Source organism: Homo sapiens, chromosome 22, assembly GCF_000001405.40.
Source record: "Homo sapiens chromosome 22, GRCh38.p14 Primary Assembly".
NCBI lineage: Eukaryota > Metazoa > Chordata > Mammalia > Primates > Hominidae > Homo > Homo sapiens.
The window spans coordinates 31244894-31269515 of record NC_000022.11 but is presented as its reverse complement, the minus strand read 5'-3'; the positions used below and the strand labels follow the sequence as shown (position 1 = coordinate 31269515).

General features: G+C 48.3%; 1 protein-coding gene across 3 annotated transcripts in view, besides 2 other annotated features; it reads right to left on the bottom strand.

Annotated features, from left to right (window-relative positions):
* The window catches only part of LIMK2 (LIM domain kinase 2), a 67783-nt gene that overhangs the window by 10565 nt on the left and 32596 nt on the right, over positions 1 to 24622 (bottom strand). For 2 of the 3 annotated variants that reach the window (NM_016733.3, NM_001031801.2), the window contains exons 1-10: positions 20747 to 21132; positions 11090 to 11225; positions 10286 to 10395; positions 9439 to 9627; positions 7277 to 7382; positions 6725 to 6921; positions 3384 to 3570; positions 2446 to 2532; positions 1609 to 1740; positions 1316 to 1372 (exon numbers count right to left, since the gene is read on the bottom strand). In NM_016733.3, coding sequence (NP_057952.1) covers positions 1316 to 1372; positions 1609 to 1740; positions 2446 to 2532; positions 3384 to 3570; positions 6725 to 6921; positions 7277 to 7382; positions 9439 to 9627; positions 10286 to 10395; positions 11090 to 11225; positions 20747 to 20799 — 1254 coding nt within the window. In that variant the 5' untranslated portion in view covers positions 20800 to 21132. Of the gene's footprint in view, positions 1 to 1315; positions 1373 to 1608; positions 1741 to 2445; positions 2533 to 3383; positions 3571 to 6724; positions 6922 to 7276; positions 7383 to 9438; positions 9628 to 10285; positions 10396 to 11089; positions 11226 to 20746; positions 21133 to 24622 lie in introns of those variants that run through there. The other variant, NM_005569.4, reaches the window with a different exon arrangement.
* Positions 20243 to 21132: an enhancer, noted in NCBI's record as "H3K27ac-H3K4me1 hESC enhancer chr22:31644370-31645259 (GRCh37/hg19 assembly coordinates)". NCBI's record gives its function as "activates a minimal SCP1, AML or CMV promoter by ChIP-STARR-seq in naive and primed H9 embryonic stem cells {active_cell/tissue: H9 hESC(naive and primed)}" and the evidence as "EXISTENCE:reporter gene assay evidence [ECO:0000049][PMID:30033119]".
* Positions 21133 to 22023: an enhancer, noted in NCBI's record as "H3K27ac-H3K4me1 hESC enhancer chr22:31643479-31644369 (GRCh37/hg19 assembly coordinates)". NCBI's record gives its function as "activates a minimal SCP1, AML or CMV promoter by ChIP-STARR-seq in primed H9 embryonic stem cells {active_cell/tissue: H9 hESC(primed)}" and the evidence as "EXISTENCE:reporter gene assay evidence [ECO:0000049][PMID:30033119]".

Below are 24622 nucleotides of genomic sequence, written 5' to 3'. Positions count from 1 at the left end.
GGGATTACAGGCATGAGCCACTGTGCCAGCCCAGACTCATTTTGGAAAAACCACAGCTCTTAAGCTTTCTTGCTTAAAAATCTTTTCCTGCCGGGCATGGTGGCTCACAACTGTAATCCCAACACTTTGGGAGGGCGAGGCAGGAGGAATGCTTGAGCCCAGGAGTTTGAGATCAGCCTGGGCAACAAAGTGAGAACCTGTCTCTACCAAAAAAAAAAAAAAAAAAAAAGAAAAAAAAATTCAAAAAATTAGGTGTGGTGGTACACACCTGTAGTCCAGCTACTTGGGAGGCTAAGGCAGGAGGATTGCTTGAGCCCAGGAGGTCGAAGCTGTAGTGAGCCATGATCGTGCCACTGCACTCCAGTCTGGGCAACAGAGCAATATCCTTTCTCAAAACAACAACAACAAAAAAACCTCCTTCCTGATTCAAGCCCCAGAAACAGGAAAAAAAAACAAAAAAACAAACAAACAAACAAACAAAAAAACCAAAAAGCCAGTCAACCAAAAAACTCTTTTACATTTGTCTCCTATAGTCCAGACTCCATAGCTTAAAACACAGCGACCTTGATGTACCCCCAAACTGTTCCAGACTACTACTATTTTCATGGACCCCCATGTGAAGGGCAGTGGCTAAAGTCTCAGGCTTGGCGACCAGACTGATTAGCCCAGGATCCCAGCTCTGTCCCTTTCCAGTCCAGCTTATCTGGAAACCAAGGTTGTCATGAGGAATAAACATGCACATGCATGTTAATCCCTCAGCCCAGTGCCTAGCATATAGAGGGCACTCAGTACTTGTCAGCTGTTATTATTTCTATGCTTGGAATCATTTGTTTCCAGGTGAAATAGATGATTTTCTCCTCTTTCCTCCCAGGTCTTTGCTCCTGTCACTTCAATCCTGGTGCCTCTCTGCCAATAAGAACTTTATCCAATTCTGATCCTTCAGGGCTCCGCTAGAACTCATTTCCCCTTCATTGATTTCCTAGGCAGTGAGGTGCTCTAGTTGGTCTAAGGGCCCTCAGCACCTGAATACCTGTGATGGCAAGCCCAGGCCATCTCAGGCTACAGTTTGCCTCTCCAGTTTGCCTTGTCCGTGCCCTGTTTGCCTTTAGAGATGTGTAATTCTTTGAAAACAGGGCTGTGAACTGAGAACAGTTGGCTGGGGTCAGTTTCAGTGACACAGACAAACTCAATGAATAGCTGCTGACCCAGCCCACACAAGTTGCATAGGAAGGGGTCTCTACCTTCCAGTGAAGCCCACAATTCTCACACCTCTCCCTACTCTCGCCCTGCTGGCAGGTTTGTTGGTGGGACTCACCATTCCGGAGGCGATTCCTTTGGCAAACCTGACCTTCTGCTGCCAGGGGAACGGATCCTGCAGAATGGGGAATGATTTTCAGAGGCTGTTGAGCCCTGTCCCACTCGTGGTCCAGGCCCCATGGGTCAATGTGGTCTCCCAGTGAAGCCTCCCTGTGTATGCTCAGTCCCACCCAGCATGGTCCTTTGGAGGCAAAGCAGGGCCCCTCTGCCCTTTAAGCTCCTAGGGTAGTGATAGCATAGGTGTCTGACAACCCACCAAGGCTCCTGGAGACTATGGGGTGGTGTGCTCACCATACTGCGCAGAAAGTCCTTCAGTGTGCCCCCCTCAATGTACTCTGTCAGGAGGTTCAGCTTCTTATCCTTGTACAGCACACCAATGAACTTGAGCACATTGGGGTGGTCCAGGCTGCGCATCACTTTCACCTGGGGGTGGGGGAAGCCAAGGAAAGCTGGTGGTTAACTTCTCACTGTCTTCCTTACCTCTTCCCTCCAAGGAATCAGCTTGACAAGTGTTACCACCTGTATCTCCTACCTCCTATCTTGTGATATGACAGGGCACTAAGATCAGGATGAGGGAAGACCACCACCATATAGATGGAGATGGCTTCATAGGCCTTACCCTTGGAACTGCATTGGGAGAACTGGGGTGGGAGTGGCCAAGTGGCTTGGAGGGCAATACCCAGACCACAGGTGTCCCCAACTTAAGTTACTCCATGAAGTAACTTGGGAGGGGTAGTGAAAACTGTAAATGCCCAAGGAGTGTGAGTGCTCAGGGAGCTCCCCTCCAGGCTCCCTTAGCAGGGCGTTCAGGTGAGGATTATAACATTGAGTTGTACTAAATTGGAGTGTTTTCATGTCCATCATCCTCATAACCTGAGAGCTCTTCTGAACCCTGTATCTTTTGTTACTGCATCCCTTGTACCCTGTTTGTGTTGCTTTTAGTAAGTGTTCATTGAACAAATAATTACGCTGTAATTTAGAGGGAGTGGGATATTCCTCTAGGGCTCTTTTCTGCTTAGTCTTTAAGACAGTAATTCCAAACTGTATTTTCTCTTGAAGCCATTATTTGTAAGGTCTTCTCTCTTCCAATGGTGACACCAACCTCCCGGGCCCCCTCCATCTTCTTACCTCAGTCAGAAAAGTTTTCTGGGTCTCCTCATCACATCGAATTAACTCTTTCATGACCATCACTTTGCCCGTGGCTTTGTGTGTCACCTACAGGGAGGGTGACTGTTAATGGTGCTGAGACCAGAGGAAGTTCTGGAGAACTGTTTGAGAAAATCTATGCAGCTGGCCATCCCATCCCTTGGAGGGCACACTGAGCCGGGTCAGAATGACAGAGTTCATGTGTGGAAGATGCAGCGTGGAGCAACATGGGACTCACACGGAAGCAAACCCTCTTTCCTGGAGAGCTGGGCATGCACAGAGGACAGGCAAGAACCCAGAAAAGGGAAGTGGGGAAGAAGGCAGGAGGGGATGCTGCCAAGCCAAGCAGGGGCTCTGGTCATTTGGCATAGAAGTGAGTCTCCTGAGTGAACAGAAGTCTGGGGGCAGGAAGGTCAGTGCCAAAGACATGCACCAGGGAGCTGGGTGGATCGGGGGTGAGCTCTCCAGCCCTGCTGCCCCCAAGCTGAGACACACGTCTTACCTGACCCCCCCTCCCAGTTCTCAGCAGAAGAGGAGGAGGAGGAGAGAAAGAGAGAGGTTAGTCCCTGAGACTGTTCACCAGGGAGGCAGGAGCCATTCCCCTGTGTGCTCCTTGTAGCATGCCCGGTACTGAGGTCTGCAGGCACCTAACAAACACCCACTGACTGGAGGCAGGAGGGCCACAGGCACAGCTCAACCCAACCTGGATCTCCAGGTCCACAAGCTCACTGTAACAGCAACATTGACCTTAGGTGGCCTGGGTGGGGGTGAAGGATACCTCTCACACCAACACCCAAAGCCAGGAAGGAGGCCTGGCATCCTGCATGGTGTGGGGTGGGGCCAAGTGATGAGAAATCCCCGAAAGACAGTGACAGAGGGACTGGGGGCAGAAGAGCAAAGCAATTGTTGCCTGCGCTCACCTTGATAGCCTGCCCAAAGAAGCCCTTCCCCAGGACCTCCCCATGGATTAGGTCACAGGGCCGGAAGATCTGCTGTGAATAGCTGCTGGAACAACGAAGGGATTCTGAGCGGCTGATGTCACGGCTGAACAGCAGGGGCTCCTTTGGGGAGCTGGGGCCAGGGGACTTGGAGATACTGTTACTGCGCCTGAAGATGAGGAAAGACGGGAGTAGGGATGTGTAGTCCTCAGAGACCGGCCAAGAAACCCTGGAGGGAGGAAACTTAGGGGCACCTGTTCATTCCAATGTCTATAGTTTAGATGTTATTATTGGGGAACAGGGGCTCTTACATCAGATGTATCATTTTGGGGTTGCTGACATCAGTCATTTATTTAAGCATAGTAAAAACACATTCAAAATGGGAACTCTGCATACATCACACATAGAACAATTAACTAGATTCTACTAGCTGATAATGCTCAGTATGTGACATATATGACAACACTGTAGATGGTAATTCACCATCTCCCATATCTGCTTGATTTAAGTACTAACTGGTTTAGAGTGATAGTTATACTAGTATCCAAAAAATGAGCAAATGGGATTTTTTTTTTTTGAGACAGAGTCTCGCTCTGTCAACCAGGCTGGAGTGCAGTGGTGTGATCTTGGCTCACTGCAACCTCTGTCTCCCTAGTTCACCTGAGTCTCATGCCTCCGCCTCCTGAGTAACTGGGACTACAGGCATGTGCCACCAGGCCCGGCTAGTTATTGTTATTATTATTATTTTTGAGACAGAGTCTCGCTCTGTCGCCCAGGCTGAAGTGCAATGGCACGATCTCGGCTCACTGCGACCTCCGCCTTCCAGGTTCAAGCGATTCTCCTGCCTCAGCCTCCCAAGTAGCTGGGAGTATAGGTGCACGCCACCACGCCCGGCTAATTTTTTTTTTTTTTTTTTTTTTTTTGATGGAGTCTCACTCTGTCGCCCAGGCTGGAGTGCAACGGCGGGATCTCCACTCACTGCAACCTCTGCCTCCCAGGTTCAAGAGATTCTCCTGCCTCAGCCTCCCAAGTAGCTGGGATTACAGGCGTGTGCCACCACAACCGAATAATTTTTGTATTTTTTTAGTAGAGATGGGGTTTCACCATGTTGGCTAGGTTGGTCTCGAACTCCTGATCTCGCGATCCATCTGTCTCGGCCTCCCTAAGTGCTGGGATTACAGGCGTGAGCCACCACACCCGGCCCTAATTTTTGTATTTTTAGTAGAGATGGGGTTTCACCATATTGGCCAGGCTAGTCTCAAACTCCTGACCTTGTGATTCGCCCACCTCGGCCTCCCAAAGTGCTGGGATTATAGGCGTGAGCCACTGCGCCCAGCCTAATTATTGTATTTTTAGTAGAGATAGGGTTTCACCATGTTGGCCAGGCTGGTCTCAAACTCCTGACCTCAAGTGATTTGCCCGCCTCGGCCTCCCAATGTGCTGGGATTACAGGCGTGAGCCACCGTGCCTGGCCAGCAAATGGGATTTTGGATGATATTTTGCACATCTTTGTACCTGTCCATGTTTCCTGAATTTTAAGATGATAAACACGTATGATTTTTACAGCAATAAAGTCACTATGTTTACATTTTCAAAAGCGGTCGATAATAGTCATGGTCAATGACTGTTATTTTCACTTACTGAAGAAGGAACAAGAAGGTTGAAGTCCACAGCACTGCAGGTGAACAGCCCTGCGAACTTTCTCTCTGGGGTATGCTCCTGCTTTACTTGGGCTACCCAGAGAGGACTGACGCTGGATGGCTCTTGGCTTGTCCCGACCTACAGGTTTACTTACCCTTGTCCTTTTGCTCTGCCTCCTGCTGACCATGCCCACCAGAGCACACAAGGCTAGCTGCCCCCCTCCTCTGCATGGTGGCTCTACAGATACCTGGCCACTCCCAAATCTTCCCTTTTCCAGGCCATGGATTTCTAGCTCTTCCCTGCCCTCTGTTGCCCTGCCTCCCACTAATTTCATCATACTGACCAAGGCCAAGAGGCAATGGGAGTGAGGGCAGCACTTTAATGAGAGGGCACTGTTTCCAACACATGCCAGCTGAGAGGGCTCTAACTTACTCAGTTTGTTTGGTGAGGAGAGTGGATAAAAAAAAACAAACTTTTTTTTTTGGAGACAAGGTCTCACTCTGTTGCCCAAGCTGTAGTACAGTGGTGTGATCAAGGCTCACTGCAGTCTTGAACTCCTGGGCTCAGGCAATCCTCCTCCTCAGCCTCTTGAGTAGCTGGGATTACAGGCATGTGCCACCATGCCCAGTTAAGTTTTTTATTCTTTGTAGAGACAGGAATGTGGCCCAGGCTGCTCCTGAACTCCTGGCCTCAAGCAATCCTCCGGCCTTGGCCTCCCAAAGTGCTGGGATTACAGGTGTGAGCCACAGTGCCCTGCCCATCTAATTAAAAACAATTATTATTATTATTTTTTTTTTGTAGAGACAGTGTCTCACTATGTTGCTCAGGCTGGTCTCAAACTCCTGTGTTCAAGCCATCCTCCGACCTAGGCCTCCCAGAGTGTTGGGATTACAGGCATGAGCCACGGTGCCTGGCCAAGAACCTGATTCTTAGTGATACTAAGAATGTGTCACGTTTACTGAACACTGTCCCTATGGCAGCACTATACAACTTTATGTCCTTTTCCACATTTAATCCTTACATAATTGGTGAGACAGCCACCTTTATCTTACCATCTTATGTCACAGATGCAGAAACAGGCTCAGAGAGATGAAGTGATTTGTGAAGGGAGGAGCTCAGCCTGAAGCCCCAGTAGGGTATCAGTATTTCTGCCTGGGAGCCAGTGCTCTTGACTTCTTTTCTGTAAGTCTCCCTACTTGGGGCTTCCACTCAAGGCAACTTCTCCTTCCCCATGGACCTGGCAGAATCTGGGGTTTGGGGGTTGTTGGTCCCTCAAGTCTAAAAAAAACGTTCATTCATCTTTTGCTTTATTGTTTTCAAAGTCTTTCTACACAATTTATTCAATCCTATCTGTGCCCCTACTCCAGGCTCTGAGCTCCATGCTTTCTCCATAGGCCATGTTGCCCTTCAGGGTTTAGCATCACTGCCTCCTGTCCAGCTTAGGAGTTCAGTGGACAGAGACTGACTCTCAGGTTTCTAAGGAAACCTGGCAGACAGCTGGGTCCGCACAGGCTCTGGCTGTAAACTGTGATCCCCACAGGGGCAGCTGGGTCAGCACAATCCTCATAGTCTGTCCCTGGCCAGCTGGTTCCTTTCCTAACTCTGCAGGCTTCTGAAAGCCAGCTCAGCTTCATCCGAGAGACAGACATAGGACAGAACAGAGCCAGGGTGGGAGGTGGCACCTTAGGGAACGTCTCCTCAGTGTCCCCTCCAGATTCTCCTTGGTGTCCAGGGTGCTGAGGGCGTGGGGGTGTCCGGCATTCTGCATGTGAGGAGCGAGCCGGGCCTCCAGCCGCAGCTGGTCCAGGCGTTGGGAGACGGGGTCATGTTCAATCAACAGCTGAAGTGTCTGGCTCGTCTGGCTAATTGCATCCTCCACCTGTGGCCAAGAGCAGTATAAAGCTCCCACAGGCTGCCCCATCCCAGGCCACCCATGGCCAACCCAGATGACTCAGGCACAGTGTGGCCAGTGCTCAACTTGTCTAATGGTGGCCTTTAGCTGCCAGTGGCCTCACAGTGCCCTCTGCCTGGCATCCTGTCAGCTCTCCCGTCCATCAACCATCCCTGCTACCCTGGGAACCTGTTACGCTGAAATAGGTCACCAGTGGTCACAGGCTCAATGCTAAGACAAAGAGATGGGCTGGGGGTAGGAAAAGGTAAAGGCTACAGCCTGATTTCTCAGAGGATCTGTTCCATGTCCCACCCTCACAAGACAGATTAGACACACACTCTACCTCCTCCACTCGAAGTGTGCGGACGGGGGTCCCATTGATCTCCAGGATGCGGTCCCCAGGGTGGATGGCGTTTCGATTGTTGGGACTGATGTGCATCCGGTTGACCCTGGGCCAGACAAGAGTTGAGGCAGGGTAAAGATGTCCTAAAAACCTGCTTGACCAATTCTGCTTGTGCAGGGAAGGTTTACCAGGTCCCAGGCCACCAGTGGCCCCTAAGGGGCCCAGGATACCCACACAGAAAGGCAACACCTTTTCCAGGATGCCCCATCTCAGTGAAGGGAATTGCCACTCACCCTGTGGCCTAAGCCAGAAACTTGAACATCATCTTCCCAATCTGGAGTTCCCTCATCTCTCCTACTCCCATCTCTAAGAACTCTGCCTTCTTTCCATCATTGTAGTTATTCACATCTCTTACCTGGATCACGGTAATAGCTTCTATTTTTTTTTTAAACTTTGTTTTTAATTTTTATTTGAGATGGCATCTTACTCTGTCATCCAGGCTGGAGTGCAGTGGCATGATCTGGGCTCACTGCAACCTCCACCTCCCAGGCTCAAGCAATTCTCATGCCTCAGCCTCCTGAGTAACTGGGATTACAGGCGCGCACCACCATACCCAGCTAATTTTTTTGTACTTTTTGTAGAGATGGGGTTTTGCCATGTTGGCCAGGCTAATCCCAAACTCTTTTTTTTTTTTGAGATGGAGTCTCGCTCTGTCGCTCAGGCTGGAGTGCAGTGGCGTGATCTCTGCTCACAGCAAGCTCCGCCTCCTAGGTTCATGCCATTCTCCTGCCTCAGCCTCCCGAGTAGCTGGGACTACAGGCGTCCGCCACCATGCCCGGCTAATTTTTGTACTTTTAGTAGAGACGGGGTTTCATTGTGTTAGCCAGGATGGTCTTGATCTCCTGACCTTGTGATCCGCCCACCTCGGCCTCCCAAAGTGCTGGGATTACAGGCGTGAGCCACTGCGCCTGGCCTAATCCCAAACTCTTGACCTCAAGCAATCTGCCCACCTTGGCCTCCCAAAGTGCTGGCATTACAGGCGTGAGCCACTATGTCTACGTCTGGACTTTTCTTTTAATTAAGAAAAACAGAGACGGGGTCTTGCTATGTTGGCCAGGTTGGTCTTCAACTCCTGGCCTCAAGCAATCCTCCCACCTCAGCCTCCCAAAGTGCTGAGATTACAGGCATGAACCACCATGCCCAGCCTACAATAGCTTCCTAACTAGTCTCTATACCTTTAGGCTTTCCCCTCTCCAATCCAACCTCCATACCAGTGATCCTTCTAAAATGTTAACTTGGTCACAACACCTTGCTGCTTAAACTCTCAATGGATCTGCTGGATTTTCATAATCCAGGCCCTCTATACTTAACAGCCCCTTTTCTGGCCACACTCAACCTACATCAGACATGATTAAGACTCCTACTTTTGGAGAAATGCTTCTCCCTCTGCCCTGAACACAATTCCCTCTCCTCTTCATCTAATAAGGTTGTAGAACAGACCTTAGCTCCTCCTGACTTCCCAAACTCTAGTATCTTTCACCTGCTGTGCAAGCACTAGCCTAGTGTCCAACACATGGTAGATACACAATCAATATTTACATGGTAAGCGGCCAGAGGTACGACATTACTGGTATTAGATAGACACAGACTCTTTCTCCATCTGGTCTCTGGCCTGAATCTAGGATAGGGTCTTAACTTCTTTTGGGCCATGGACCACATTTTCTCCATTCATTCTCTCGACTGACAAAATAATAATCAATCAACTCCTACTATATGCCAGGTACTCTTCCAAGCCCTGGGCATGCAGCACTGAATAAGACAGCAAGTTTCTTCTGGAATTTACATTCTAGTGGAGGGGATAGAAGATAAACAACTAATACACATAATCAAGCCAGATGATTTCAAAGAGCAAACATGACCTGAAACCTGACACCTGAAAGGTGAGTGATTCTTGCCTTAAGTATCGGGTAGGAAGTAGCCTGGGCAGAGAGAACAGTAAGTGCCAAGGCCCAGGTACGGTTACAGCATAGTGGGGTCCAGGAGAAAGATATGAGATGAGAATAAAGGGAGTTCTGCATGAGACTTTGGAGGTCTAAGCCCTCTGAGGCCCATTTACAGACTCTGCTCAAGAACCCCTGCTGAAGGGTTCTCAAAATACTTACTCTTTCACTTGCACAGTGGTGGCGTAGTTGGAGCAGGCACTCTCCACGGACACGGAGAAGCCCCGCCTGCCTTCAGTGGTGGCCGGCATGGAGATGAGCGTGACAGAGTAGGGCAGCTGCTCCTGAACAGACTCTGTGGAGAGTCTCTCAAACATGGGTGCCAGCACCACCTCATTGTGGCACTTCCCACTGGGGAGAGGGCACAGGGGGGAATAAGATGCTAGAGTCCCACACAGAAGCCCCCCAGCAACCACTGCACCATGTGGCTTTAAGCAACAGTACCCATAGTCTCACTACCACCCTCTTTGTCATGATTCTAGCTGGCTGCTCAGAATGAGGAGCCTGGGTTCTCAGGGTGGGCTGGGACTGGGGGTGCTGAGCTAGATCTGCAGCAAGTGGTATATTTGGAAAAACACTGGCCTGGGTTGGGGTGAGATGGTCTGGGTTCTCTTCACTCTACCTTTGACTCACAATGAGAACCTTGCCCTTGTACTATTCTATTCCATGGGCCCCAGGCTGACTTCTTTTATCAACCAAGGTGGTTGGACAGGGTGAGCTCTAAGGGGTCTTTGACTTTAATGTTCTGGGATCGTCCTTGAAGAGTGCCTCCCACTGGGAGGATTGCAGGGCAGAGTGAAGACATTTTCAAGGTTGGTAAGGAAAAAGGGTAGAGACATGTGTAAATCATTCTGCTTACAAGTTAAAGAGCTGGTTAAGAGCACTGCTGTGGTAAGAATCCAATGCTCTGACTACCCTAACACTCCTTCTGCCCAACTCACCCTGCCACTGTCCCTCCCCGCCAGCCACTCTTATATGGGAGAGGATAGACAAAGGACCACTATCTTACCAGTAGAGGGTGGCATGCTGCACCAGTGCATATGCATCCCCATCCTCAATGATCACCTTGCAGCTCATACAGGCAAAGCACTCTGGGTGGTACTTGAACTCCCCAGCCACCTGTGAGCAGGTGGGGAGAAGGGTGTACAAAGGGAGGAAGGAAGTGAGTTATCACTGTTGCTGGAGTGAGGACAGGGGTGGGTGAATGACCTCCAAGCAAGGCCCCCGTCAAAATCCACTCTTTCACTCTCTGCCCTAGAGCTTCCAAAGGAAGTGTCAGATTGGTACCTCCTGTCATTTCTGAGACTGCACAAAACTGTTTTGGTCTCAGTTATGAGAAGAAATCCCCAGAAGTAATCATCCCCACTAAAAAAGATCAGTTCTTCCAATACAGGGTTGGCAAGTCTGTCACTATGCTTAAAGTCGTTTGTCCAGAGCAGGTATAGGAGGTAGCCCCTCTCTCTGCCAGCCTATTCCAGAGTCTCCTTTTCTGATTCCCTAAAGACAACCTAAGTATATCCTCCTCTCAGCCTGTAACACTCTCCTTGGAGGTCCTTATCCAACTATATTGTGTCTCCTCTCTGCCTGCCTCTCCTCCCACTCCCAACGTTCAACTATTAAGTCTTTGAGGGAAGGATCTTACCTTTCACTTAGTAGGTGCTCAATTGATACCTGCTAGTTGAATGAATGAATAAATAAAGGGAGATGCCCTGGCTGATGGAAAGACTAAAAGATTAACAGGCCACAGGGAACTGGAAGCACTGTCAATGGACTCTGAAGACCAAGAGGGGCAGATATGAAGGGATTCACTCACCATAAAAGGCCCTGTCATCAGCAGGGAGCACCCATGACAGAACTCCCCAAACTTCCCCCAGTAGTCCTTGGGGCAGTAGAGCTTCCCATCCTTCTCATAGTACCAGTTGGTGAGGGAATCCTGGCATTCTGAACACCTGAAAGGCAAGACAAGAACTGAAATTCTCCTGGATCCCTGGAACCAGGCCACATAAGCTGTCCCTGGTTCCTAGGTATGACAACAAAATGGACAGTCCTCTTTGATCCAAAGCCAAGATGGGGCAAAGTTACAGCCTTGTGCTATCTCCCCAAGGGAAGCTGGTTCAGACTGAACAAGGCCCCAGAAACCAGCTCTGTGTTGCCTGCCTCAGTGGACAGACTAGTGTTTCATAACCTCTTTGGGTCTTGGGGCCCTCTGAGAATTTGATAAAAGCCAAGAAGCCTCCCCTAGAAAAATGAATATATAAAGAAGATGTGTATATAATTTAGGTGGGGGACAGGGTGTATATATAAAGGATTCTCTGAAACCTATTTATGGCACCAGTTAAGGATCTCTGGTCTTGACAGATACTTCAATGAACAAAAGCAGTTTAATCATCTCCACTCTTCAAAACTGACCCATCACCAACAGCGTTACCAATGTAATGTTCTTGCCAAAAATACGTTAAGTATAAAAAAACTAATCAGGCAAATCTAGAATGTGGGTTATTCTATAAGAATAACCGGTCTTGACTCTTCTAAAAAGTCATGGGGAGAAGAAAAGGCACAGATTTTAAAAACCCTAGAGACACAGCAACCAAATACAATGCCTCAAACTTGGATTCAAATTTAGATTAAAAAAGGAAACAGCCATGAACATTTTTTGGAACAACTGAGGAAATATGGATTTGGACTATAATATTATATTGTAAAATTGCCGTGAATTTTCTTAGATGTAATGATATCTGACTTATATAGGAGAATTCTTAGCAGAAACATATTGAACTGTTCAAGGGTAAAATCAAGATGCCTTTAAGTTACTCTGAAATAGTTCAGCAAAAATAAATAAATAAAAGTATACAGATAGAGGGAGAGAGATATATACAAAGTGGCATAACATTAACAAATCATGAATCTATGTGAAAGGTATGTAGGTGTTCTTTGAACTACATTTTCAACTTTTCTATATATTTGAATTTTTTTTCAAAATAAAATATTGGGGAAGAAACCCAACATTCTATTAGCACTGTGTAAGATGTACATGTTAGATCCATAGCTCGCTGGGCGGGGTGGCTGATGCCTCTAATCCCAGCACTTTGGGAGGCTGAGGTGGGAGGATCACTTGAGCCCAGGAGTTCAAGACCAGCCTGGGCAACATAGTAAGACCCCGTCTCTAAAAAAAAAAAAAAAAAAAAAAAAAAAAAAAAAATCTATAGCTCCCTTCTCCCCTAATGACCTGGCTATGAAGCTCCACCTCTCAAAAGTCTGGTGTGTTCTCAGGACTTACCTGCACAGACAACCTCTTCCTCCCTTCTGAGCTTCCCAACACACACAGCTAAGAGCTCCCTGGCCTGCTGAGCCCATGCCATCTCTTTCCTTCTAGCTCCTTCTTTTCCCTATTCTTGTTGTCAAGGCCTTGCACCTTCCACAGTGGCCACATTCTTGCTTCCAAGAGGTTTGAACATTGCTTGGTTTGAATCTTGATCCTGCCACTTACTAGTTACATCATCTTGGGCAAGATATTTTACTTCTCTGGCCTAGTTTCCTCATCTATAAAATGAACTGCTGTGAAAATTAATGGAAATAATATGTATTAAAAATATAGAGAGCAGCTGGGCACAGTGGCTTATGCTTATAATCCCAGCACTTTGGGAGGCCGAGGCGGGTGGATCACTTGAAGTCAGGAGTTCGAGACCAGCCTGGCCAACATGGTGAAACCTGGTCTACTAAAAATACAAAAAATTAGCTGGGCGTGGTGGCATGCACCTATAATCCCAGCTACTCGGGAGGCTGAGGCAGGAGAATCACTGGAACCCAGGAGGTGGAGGTTGCAGTGAGTCGAGATCACGCCACTGCACTCCAGCCTGGGTGACAGAGTCAGACTCTGTCTCAAAAAACATTATAGCTAGCTAGCTAGCTAGCTAGAGATAGCTTATATAAAAGTCCTAATATAGGCAGGGCGCGGTGGCTCACACCTGTAATCCCAGCACTTTGGGAGGCTGAGGCGGGCAGATCACAAGGTCAGGAGTTCAAGACCAGCCTGGCCAACATGGTGAAACCCTGTCTCTACTAAAAATACAAAAATTAGCCGGGCGTGGTGGCGTGCACTGGTAGTCCCAGCTACTCAGGAGGCTGAGGCAGGAGAATCGCTTGAACCTGGGAAGCGGAGGTTGTGGTGACCCAAAATTGCACCACTGCACTCCAGCCTGGACAACAGAGCAAGATTCCGTCTCAAAAAAAAAAAAAAAAAAAAAAAAAAAAAAAAAAAAAAGACCCAATATAGTAGAAACTCAGTATGTGTTAACTTCTATTAAAGATGATGACAATGTAATGGCAGCTCACTTTATCAGCCACTTACTGTCACTAGCTGGACAACTTCTCTTAGTAGCTTTCTCTCATTGAAAATAACTAATAGCATCCTATTACTACAAAGAGCCAATGTGAAGAGGAAATAAGCTAATGTATGAGAGAAAGCCTTTTGCCAGGCAAGTGCATTATTATAACTTGCTAAGCACTGCAGATATAAAAGATAAATACACAGGGCACCCTACTTCACCTTTCATGAGCTTATGAAGAGTTGAGGAAGAGAAAGTCTAAATAAAACTCAACAATGCAAGGTGAGAGGCCACAGTGAGTTCTACTACTTCTGAGCACTGCGGGAGGTAGAGAAGAGGGGCAGGAATGAGTTGAAGCAGCTGAGCTAGGGAAGTCTAGAGAAGCAAGTCCCTGAGAATCCCTTTATCTTTCTGGAGTGCCCAATTCCTCCTGGGTGCTCAACAAACACTGATGGCTATTTTTACCCTATAGCTTTTCCTACTTGTCTTATGGAAGGGGAACTTCAGGGTCTTAAGGGCTGGGTATGGCATGAAGAGTATGGCTGTGAAGTGTCTCAAAACTGCACAGTGAGGTTGGAGGCAGAGGGGAAGACTGTTCTTGGTATGTGGCTCACACTCCTCTCAATATAAGATACATGTGGGATGAGCTCTAAATGAGGAGGAGAGAGATATGGGTTCAAGTTCTTGGGTGCTAAATTGCCTTGGACAAGCCCCTTTCCCTCTCTGGGTTGTTTCCCCACCTGTGAAACAAGAGGACAAACAATACCCTGGGTCCCCTTAACTCTGTGCATATCTGTGTTTTTCCCTAGATGATCTGAGGTTCTAATCTTAGCACCACCATTTACCACCTAAGTGATCTTGGGCTAGCCCCTTCACTTCTCATTTGTGAAATGGCAATGTCATCACCTACTTTCAAGGTAGCAGTGAGGATTTTTTCTTTTTTCTTTTTTTTTTTGAGATGGAATTTTGCTCTTATCGCCCAGGCTGGAGTGCAGTGGCACAATCTCGGCTCACTGCAACCTCTGCTTCCCGAGTTCAAGTGATTTTCCCACCTCAGCCTCCTGAGTAGCTGGGATTACTGGCGCATGCCACCACACCCGGCTAATTTTTCTATTTTTAGTAGAGACGGGGTTTCCCCATGTTGGTGAGGCTGGTCTCGAACTCCCGACCTCAAGTGATCTGCCCGCCTTGGCCTCCCGAAGTGCTGCGATTACAGGTGTGAGCCACTATGCCTGGCCTGCAGTGAGGATTAAATGTGGTTCTGAAGAACTATGGGGTGCCCAACAGAGGGCTGGCAGTAGGAGCAGGGGCTTCCTTCTTGCCTCCTGCCTTCTGACTTAGAAGTTCCTGGGCAACCATCTTTCTTCTTCACTAGACTGTTAGCTCCCTGAGGACAAAAACAGCATCCCACTTACTCTTGGTAGACTCAGCACCAAGCAAAGGACCTGGAAGAGCAAAGCCTTAACAAATATTTCCAAACTGAAAATGGTAGGAGTGGCAAGAACCAGTAGCCCAGGTAGGGGAGCACAAGGGTTCCATGGCTCCTGGTCACCAGGTCCTTCTTTTCTTCTGTGTGCAGACTTATTTGCACCCAAATGCAGGCCTGGGCTCTGTTACGCCCTTGCAATGGTATGTGCGCCGCAGGGCATGGGAGCACCAGAACACACCCTCCTTTCCATTGCCAATATCCTGCTTTTGTTTGCTGCAAGTAGCTCTGGCCAGGCCCAGGAGAGGGAGCAGGGAGACAAACAAGTACAGGCATGCAGGAGACAGCCAGGCCAGCCTGCTGGGAAGAACACCTGGCTGGAGAGCAACGTCACCAGTCCACATATCTGTGTCAAGGAATGCCTTTAAAGGGCACAGCCAGCTATGTGGCCAAAGTCACTGCCACACATGTCTCTGAAGAACTGGAAGGTGAACAGCTGACAGGAGGGCTGGGTATGGATCCCTAAGCTGTGTTTTGCCACAGAACACAACTGGGTTCTCAGACCACTTAAGAAGTTGCCATGGTAGACTTCAGAGTTCTAGCTTAGCTATCAATTAACAGCTACTATTTATTGAATGCCAGCCATAATCCAGGTCCTATATGAGGTACCTTATTTATATTATCTCTAATCCTGACAACCCTACGGTAGCAGGATTATCCCTGTTTTACAGAAGACTGAAAAGCAGAGTTAAAGTCAAATCATTCTGCAAAGCTGCCCAATACATAATTGATGGAGCTGGAATGTGAAGCTATGTGTGCTTGGCTGCAAAGCCACATCCACTGTACTATGTCACCGGAGTGAGACAGCACATCTCAACAGCTGAGCCTCAGGATTCTCACCTGTGAAAATAAGGAAGCTGGAGCCCTGACAGCTCAAGACCCTTTGAGTGTTAACACTTCGTGATGCTTCTCCTTTAGCCCAAGTACTGAATGTTAAATAGCACAATTCTCCTCCTTCATATACTTCACAGTGTTCAATTCCCCAGCAGTCTCTGTTCTTTTAAACAAAGAACCCAGAACACACTTTGGAACTGTAAGGTGCTACTCGAACATGTCCCACCTCAGATGCTTAGAGGCCATGGACATCATACGTTCTTCCCAAAGCCAAGGCTGTTTTTCTACCTTTCAATTTTTGGAAGTTTCAAGTGAAAGTCAAAATCTGCCCTGGCTGTAGGTAGAAGAGTACCCAGCTGGGAGGTGGTAAAGCTGAGGTCTGAACCAGTCATCCCACTGTCCTGAGGAGCCAGAGTGAATTGAGCTGAAATCCTCAGGTTAGGGGAGATCACCTAGAGGCCTACATACGCTGAGGCTATGCCTAAGGACAACCTCCAAAACTCATCTTCCAAAACATTACTGAGGGGTTCTGAGGGCTTGGGCAGATACAAAGTGCATGGAACCCTGATGGTCAGTTCAGTGGGTCAACCCAGATCCACACAGAGACCTTTTGAGTCAGCAGAGAACATATGAGTTTTTTAAAAAAGATAATCAGTTGAGATTTTCTCTTTCAAGACCTGGATCCATATTCCTTCTCTGCCATTTACCATCTGTGTCACCCAAGGCCAGTTACTTCATGACTCTGAGCCTCAGTTTCCTCACTTGTACATTGCTAATAATATCTTATGGGGTTATGAGAATTAAATTATGTACAGATGTCTTGCATGATGCCTGGCTCACAGAAGGTAGCCAGTAAGTGTTCATTTCTTTCCCTCCCCAATTTGAGACCACCAAGGGCAAATGCAGACAGACCCCTTTTTCTCCTATGCCTAGCAATATGGACCTGCTTCTCAGCCCAGAATGAAACAGATTTCTGTAAGTGAAAAAGAAAGGTCCTAAAATGACCTTTATTTATCTATCCAAATAGAAATCAACTTTTTTTTTTTTTTTTTAAGAGACAGAGTCTTACTCTGTCACCCAGGCTGGAGTGCAGTGGCACAATCATTGCTCACTGTAGTCTGACCTCCCAGGCTCAAGAGATCCTCCTGCCTCAGCCTCCTGAGTAGCTGGGACTACAGGTGCACACCACCATGCCTGGCTAATTTTTTATTTTTTGTAGAGACAGGGTCTCCCTATGTTGCCCAGGCTGGTCTTAAACTCCTGGACTCAGGTGATCCTCCAGCCTTGGCCTCCCAAAGTGCTGGGATTACAGGAAGGAGCCACCAAGCCCAGCTGAAATCAATTGATTCTAATAGATTTCTAATAATTAGGAAATAGTTACTGTGCATCTAGGATGTGTAAGAACAAGCAGGCAAGGTGCTGTGCTGAGAGAAGCCAAGTGAGATAAGATAGAGGCCCAGCCCTCACTTACATCCAAATTCTTCAGACAAAAATGTTTACAGGTAAATTCTCAACCTTATGGGGTAAAAGAACCAGTCATTATTGCAGTGGATTTACACATGTTAAAGCATAAGCCCTCCCATGTCCTGAGGAAGGCCTGGCTGGATGGTCATCCCTTAACCTCCCAGTGAACAGCCAGTTGTAGAGAAGCTTCTTTCAGCCCCTAGCCTCTGAATTGAGTGGGCTGAAGGAGAGAATGGGAAGCTCCCTCCACCACAGCCTGAGGGCACCTGGAGAGCACCACAACTGGGGATGCCAACTTTTCCCCAGGGCCCAGAAGGGCAGATATGACAGGGGCCTAGAGAGACTCTGTTCCATAAGAGCTCAGTCAAAAATCCCTTTATTACTCCTCCTTCCTGCAGATCCTATAGACTGAAACAGTCTGCCAATTAAGCTGTAATTATTATGGAATATGTTATTGTTGTTTTAAAAAATTAACCAAACACATAATGAAGCCTACGAACAGCAAGAAATAAGTGTTGCTAGAGTGCACTGATTCAGTTCCAACCAAAAACCAGGAAGACTGTAGTTTCAAGTATTTTGTGTAGTTGTACTGCAGTTAAAGACAGGGCCTCCATTATTTGGCAAATAATGGAAAAGAGCTTGTGTGCCTCTGAGGAGCCACATAAGTTGCAGAGCTGGGAACCATTCACCTGATCCAAGTCCTTCATTTTTCAGATAAGGAAAAGAGTCCCAGAGGACCTAAGGCACCTGCCAAAGGTTACTGTGAAGCTGGGCAGAGTTATGCATAATTTTTTCCCTTTAAACATGGATTGCTTTGGAACACAAAGGTTCATTTGTTTTCTTCAAGAGATAATGTGTAAACCCAAGCTCATTAAATCAGTATTGGACATTAAGTGAAATTCTATAAAAAGAAAAATGCTTTAAAGATGTCCGACAAAAGCCACTCCCTAATTTACCTCTTTTGTAAATTCCAATTTGAGGTATTTTCTTACTTGGAAGCACAGTGGTAATTGCAGCTCACTTCTCACGCTAGTGTGGTAGGAAAGACAGTGCATTCTCTGCTGAGTATGTATGGCCTGTCAGGCAGGGGTGTATGGGACACAGAAGTTGTATTCTTCATTCCCTTGCTCCCTCTTCCTCCCTCACATGTCACGCCTGATCATGTCCCCATGGAATCTGGTTGCGTCACTTTCCTTGCAACCACAGCCCCAGAACTCCCATAGACTTTGTACTCCCCCAGAGGCCTAGGGTCAAGAACTTAATTTGTTTCACAGAATCCAGCAAGGACCCTGTTCAGGAGCCCAAGAAGTCTAGCTTCTACTTTCTGCCAAGGATGAAACTGAGGCCCAAAGAGGAGCCCTTGAGGATATCCTATAATAAAAGAGGGAGGGGCTAATGGCAGAAACAGCTTTCTGACCAGGTAGTGATGTGGTAACGGATACCTGGGAGAGCAGAGGGTCTGGGTGGTCCCTCCCTGGGGGGAAAGAGCCCTGTGTGGCAGCTATCTCTTCAGAAGTGACTTCAGGAATGTGGCCTCTTATTTGGGGAAGGGAAGAATGTCTACGAAAGTCAGTCAGTACCCCCCAGACTCTAGCTGGGCAAACGGAGCTTGGGGGTAGGGGCAAGAAGATCAGGTTCTCCAGAAAGCCTGGGACAGAACAAGACAAACGGCAGGTGGACTTGGGTGGCATTAGTGGTCTGGCCCTTAAAGGTTCAGGTTGAGAGTTCACTATCTGCTCTAGCTTCTCCTCTTCCTGAGAAGTTGTGTCCTCCCTGGCTTCCCTGCCTCTCCAAGGGTAAAAGGGGTATAGTTCCTGGCTCCTAAAGGAACAACCCTTCTCCTAAGCTGCCTTCCCAGGATTAAGAGAAATTAATGAGGACCTGAAATGTGGCTACTTCAACACTTGGCATCTTAATTCCACATGTAAAAGCTTTCTCCTAAACTCAAGATCAATTTCCATTGGCTCTTTAGAAAACAATCTCAGCCACACCTTCAACAAGTCAGGCAAACTATCCCTTTTTTTACTCTCTGCTAGGAGAGGAAAACAAACCTGAGAATTTCCTCTCCACTAGGAGAAGAAAACAAACCTGCAGCCCCCTGAAGGATGAGAGAAAGTCAGGAAGACAGAAAAAGCTGCCCAGTGAGGCTCCATATGTTAACTCTGTTGAAACTGGTTGCCTCATCTGTAAAATGGGGATATATAATCTCTTTAGGCTGTTGAGAGATTAAAGGATAAAGTGTCTAGCAGGGCGCTTGGTAGAGTCAGCATTGAGGACCAGTTCCCTTCCCCCTTCCCCCTGTCCAGACACTTCCCAGCAATCTACCAGGGTCCGGTCATTCCACAAAACCACATGGTGCACTGCTTTTCTGCCCAGGGCCTGGCCACCTGACTAGTATCCCGGCAGCAAGATCTGGGCACTGGACCTAGCTTAGAGAAGCCAGAAGGGAAAAGTCGACCAGGACCACTGGTGAGGGGGAGGCAGCCTTTTTGGAACAACAGGCTGCTCCCAAAGAATGAAAACAAACCCCACCCTAGCCTGGAATGGCTCCATTCAGAAGGGACCCAGAGGGCCAGAAACCCCCTGGGGAGTTTCTATGGGAGGTGGAGTGGGGCAATGAGCAAAGAAAGCCAGGTTAGAGGTAGAGTTTCCACATCTCCCTCTGAGAAGCCCCACAGAGAGAGGCTCGTGGAGGTACTTAGGCCTAGGGACTGAGGAGGTGTGGGGGCTGGCCCAGCAGCTCAGGAACACTCTAAAGCCCATTGCTCCAGTCTTAGAAGCACTCGCCCAGGTCTTTCCCCAGCAACTACATTCACCTGGGAGCTCAGAAGCCCTTCAAGGCCAGAGGCAAATGTGCCTGCCATTAAGAGAACAAACGTTTATAAGGTGCCTACTGTGTACCAGGCTACCCACACCCAGGACTTGCCAGTTTCCACAGTTTGGCAAAACCTGCCCATCCTGCTTGTTGGGACAAATTCCTGGGCAGGCAGCATGGCCCGCAGGTAAGACATGTGAGAGCTGGAAACAGCACTCTATTTGGGCTATTCCCCCCGGAAGCAGTAACATCTACAATGGGCAGGTCAGTGGCATCTTTTGGAGGCTCCTTCAGGTTTGTCTGGGATAGAAGGGGAGCTGGAGCTCCCTAAGAAGTTCCTTCTGGGTATATCCCTCCCCTCACCACTTCCAGGACATAATGGGGGTACCTCACAAGGCCGATTCTCCTTGGGTATAACCTCCGCTGGCTTCTGCCCGGCAGAACCGATGGTAAAGGACTAAGTGAGAAGGAGATTTAGGGAGACCACCCTCCTCTCAGGACCAGGGGCCAGGAGAGATGGAGAGGGGAACTCGGAGACCAACTCACCGAAACAGGTCTCTGGAGGTGAAGTAAGCCGGGACTGACAAGTAACTCCCCATCTTCTTCCCACACCAGATAGACAGGCTCAGCTGCAAATCCGTCTGTGACTGCCTCAGGCCGGCTGTAGATGGCCACCATGACAGGCCCGGGGCTCCCGGCACCTCTGGCTGCAGGCAGGCTGCCCTGAGCTCACCTCTCCCTCCGGAGCAGCTGCGGGAGCCTGAGGACTCCAGGCCACTTGGCCCCCAGCAGATTCCCACAGGGGCTCATGGCTGGGATGGCTCCTCCCTAGTTCTCAGAAGCTCAGGCGGCCCCTCTGGACTCCGAGAAAACGACCTCTCTGTGGAGGCTACACACACACTGGCATTCTTGAGCAGGGGCCGGTGACTAGCTAAGAAAGAAGCGCTGCTGTCAAGTTAGCCTTCTTCTTCAGTCCCACCCCTGAATGAGGGAGGGAGGGAGGAAGAGGAGGGGCTCCCGCAGAACCGAGGTGTGTGGTTGGAGCAGCTGTTAGGAAACAGACCTTGCAGGCAAGGGGTGGAGCTGGGCTGGATCGAGGCTGCAGGCAGGCGCTGCAGACAATAACTGGGACCAATTGAGCGTCCATCCTGAGCTCAGGGAAGGGCAAGGCAGGATAGAGTGTGAACATATCTGGCCCCAGATGTCCTCAAGCAGAGGAGCTGCCTACAGGACAGTAATTCTGCTTGGAGGTGGAAAAAAAAAAAAAGCAGAGGATGCCAGGTCCAGGAAGAGCCACACCAGACGGGGGGACCTCTGGTAGGAGAGACAGGTCCAGAGAGCCATCCTAGCTCTGAGCTGCCATCTGTTCTGTCCTGGCACTAGGGCTCCCATTCATTCCCTCCCTCTGCCTGTCCTGGGGACAGCCTCAAGAGCTGACCAATGGGAGGTGCCACTTCCACTCCAGGGCAGGGCTGTGTTGCAAATAAGGAAACAAGGCCCAGAGTATTAACCTACACCTGATGTGTCTCCATGTGGCAAACACTATATGCACTCTTTTATTTCTCTGAGACAGGAATTATTCCCACTCTACAGACAAGAAAAGTGAGGTACAGAGAGATTAGGTAACTCACTCAAGGTCAAAAAGGGAGTCAGTGGCAGGGCTGGAATTTAAATGTAGGCTCATGTGACTCTAGAGCTGGAGCTCTCCCACTACCAGGCTTCATTCTGGCTCTTTAAGGAGAAAAATCTTTTCCAAAGCTCTCTGCAAATAGGATGGAGCCCAGGTTACTCTCATTCACTCACTATTCACTGAGTGTTCACATGCAGAACACCATCCATTGGCCTCAGTGGACAGTGGAGCTTCTTCTACTTGTCCTGTGATAACCATGCTTTTCAAACTGAAAAATGGGGCATGAGGGAGAAAAAGGCCTGGGGTGCCAAAAGGGATTGATAAGCCTAGGTATCTGGAATGGGAGCCCACCTGAACAGCCCCCAGTTGTGACGATGACCAAACCAGAGCCTACCATGTAGAAAGCCCTTGTCTCCCTGCCTGCAGGATTGTAAAGGAAAAAGCAAGGCTGCTGGAGGAAACCAGAACACTCAGATCTCACTACTGGATTTGGGGCAGTGACATCAGCTCTCCCTTACCAGGCACACACCGCTCACCATTGTAAAGAGCCAGAAGTCACCGTGCAGCTTCTATCTCTTACTGTGAACCATGGCAGGAAAGTCTGATAAAGATGGTAGATGGGGTTACAAGGGAGCCTTTTCCCATTCCACCAACTGGACACAGGGACAACAATGCATGTGATAAGAGCACATGGGTTTGAATACTGTTAAGAAGCTACCATTTATTGAGCAGTTAATATCTTCTAGGCCCTGTGTTAAGTGCTTAGCATTTATTATCCATCATGTTTAAATTGCCAGTAAAAGGAGGAAACGTCATCAGCCTCATTTAACAGATTAGGAAATAGGTTCTGAGGGGTTATGTCACTATTCTCAAGACAAATAGCTGATAAGTGGTGAGGGTGTTTTTTTTTTTTGTTTTTTTTTTTTTGAGTCAGGGTCTCTCTCTGTCACTCAGGCTGGAGTGCGGTGATGCCATCATGGCTCACTACAATCTTGACCTCGACCTTCTGGACTCAAGTGATCCTCTCACCTCAGCCTCCAGAGTAGCTGGGACTACAGATGCGTGCCATCACACCCAGCTGTGAGGCTGAGTTTCAAACCTGGTACATATGGCTCTAGAGCACAGGTCAAGGCACTTTTTCTGTAAAGGGCCAGAGAGCAAATATCTTAGGCTCTGCAGGCCATACAGACTGTCGTGGCCACTCAATTGTGTCATTATAGGGCAAAAGCAGCCATATATAAAACATAAACTAAGGGACATGGCTATGTTCCAACAGATATTTACTTATGGAAAGATTTTTTTCTTTTTTTTTTTTTTCTTTTGAGATTCAGTCTCACACTGTTGCCCTGGCTAAAGTGCAGTGGTATAAACATGGTTCATTGTAGTCTCAACCACCTAAGCTCAAGTGATCCTCCTACCTAAGCCTCCAGTGCATCCTGGGACCACACGTGCTGGCCACCATACCCAGCGTGTGTGTGTGTGTGTGTGTGTGTGTGTGTGTGCGTGCGTGCGTGTGTCGGAGTCTCGCTCTGTTGCCCAGGCTGCAGTGTAGTGTCGCGATCTTGGCTCACTGCAACCTCCGCCTCCCAGGTTCAAGCAATTCTCTTGTCTCAGCCTCCCAAGTAGCTGGGACTACAGGCGCATGCCACCATGCTCGGCTAATTTTTGTGTTTTTAGTACAGACAGGGTTTCACCATATTGGTCAGGCTGGTCTTGAACTCCTGACCTCAGGTGATCCACTTGCCTCGGCCTCCCAAAGTGCTGAGATTATAGGTGTGAGCCACTGCGCCCGGCCCTGGCTTATTTTTTTTTATTTTTTGTAGAGACAGGGTCTCACTTTGTTGCCCAGGCTGGGACACTGATATTTGAGTTTCATGTAATTTCCACATGTCACAAAGCATTCTTTTGCTTTTTTTCCCCTAACCATTAAAAATCACAGGTCATATAGGCCAGGCATAGTGGCTCATGCCTATAATCCCAGCATTCGAGAGGCCAAGGAGGGAGGACTGCTTGAAGCCAGAAGTTTGAGACCAGCCTGGGTAACAAACCAAGACCCTATCTCTACTAAAAAAATCAGTCAATCAGGCCAGTCATGGTGGCTCACGCCTGTAATCCCAGCACTTTGGAAGGCTGAGGCGGGCAGATCACCTGAGGTTGGAAGTTCGAGACTAGCCTGACCAACATGGAGAAACCCTGTCTCTACTAAAAATACAAAAATTAGCCAGGCGTGGTGGCACATGCCTGTAATCCCAGCTACTCGAGAGGCTGAGACAGGAGAATCGCTTGAACCCAGGAGGCAGAGGTTGCGGTGAGCTGAGTTCGTGCCATTGCATTCCAGCCTGGGCAACAAGAGTGAAACTCTGTCTCAAAAAGAAAAAAAAAATCAATCAATCACAGGCCGTATTAAAATAGGCAATGGGCCATAGCTTGCCGGCCTCTGTTCTAGAACCACAGAGCTCAACCACTCTGTTTACTACCTCTAATAGTGAAGAACAGCTCTTGGTGTTTGTGCAGAGCTCAGCCATATCTATCTATCTATACCACGAAGACACCACACTCTAGCCCCAGAGGCAGCCAGAAGAAGGAAGCACTGAACAGGTGCTCACCCTGTATTAAACATTGCTTGCAGCACTACTTGTATGAATGAATTTTAACCCCCACTATTCCACAGTGCTGTGATTTTTCTCTTTACAGATAAAGCAACTGAGGTACAGGGAGGTTAAATCACTTGCCTGAGGTCACTCAGCTGTAAATGTGAGAAGTGAAGCCAGGATTTGAACCCAGACTAGACA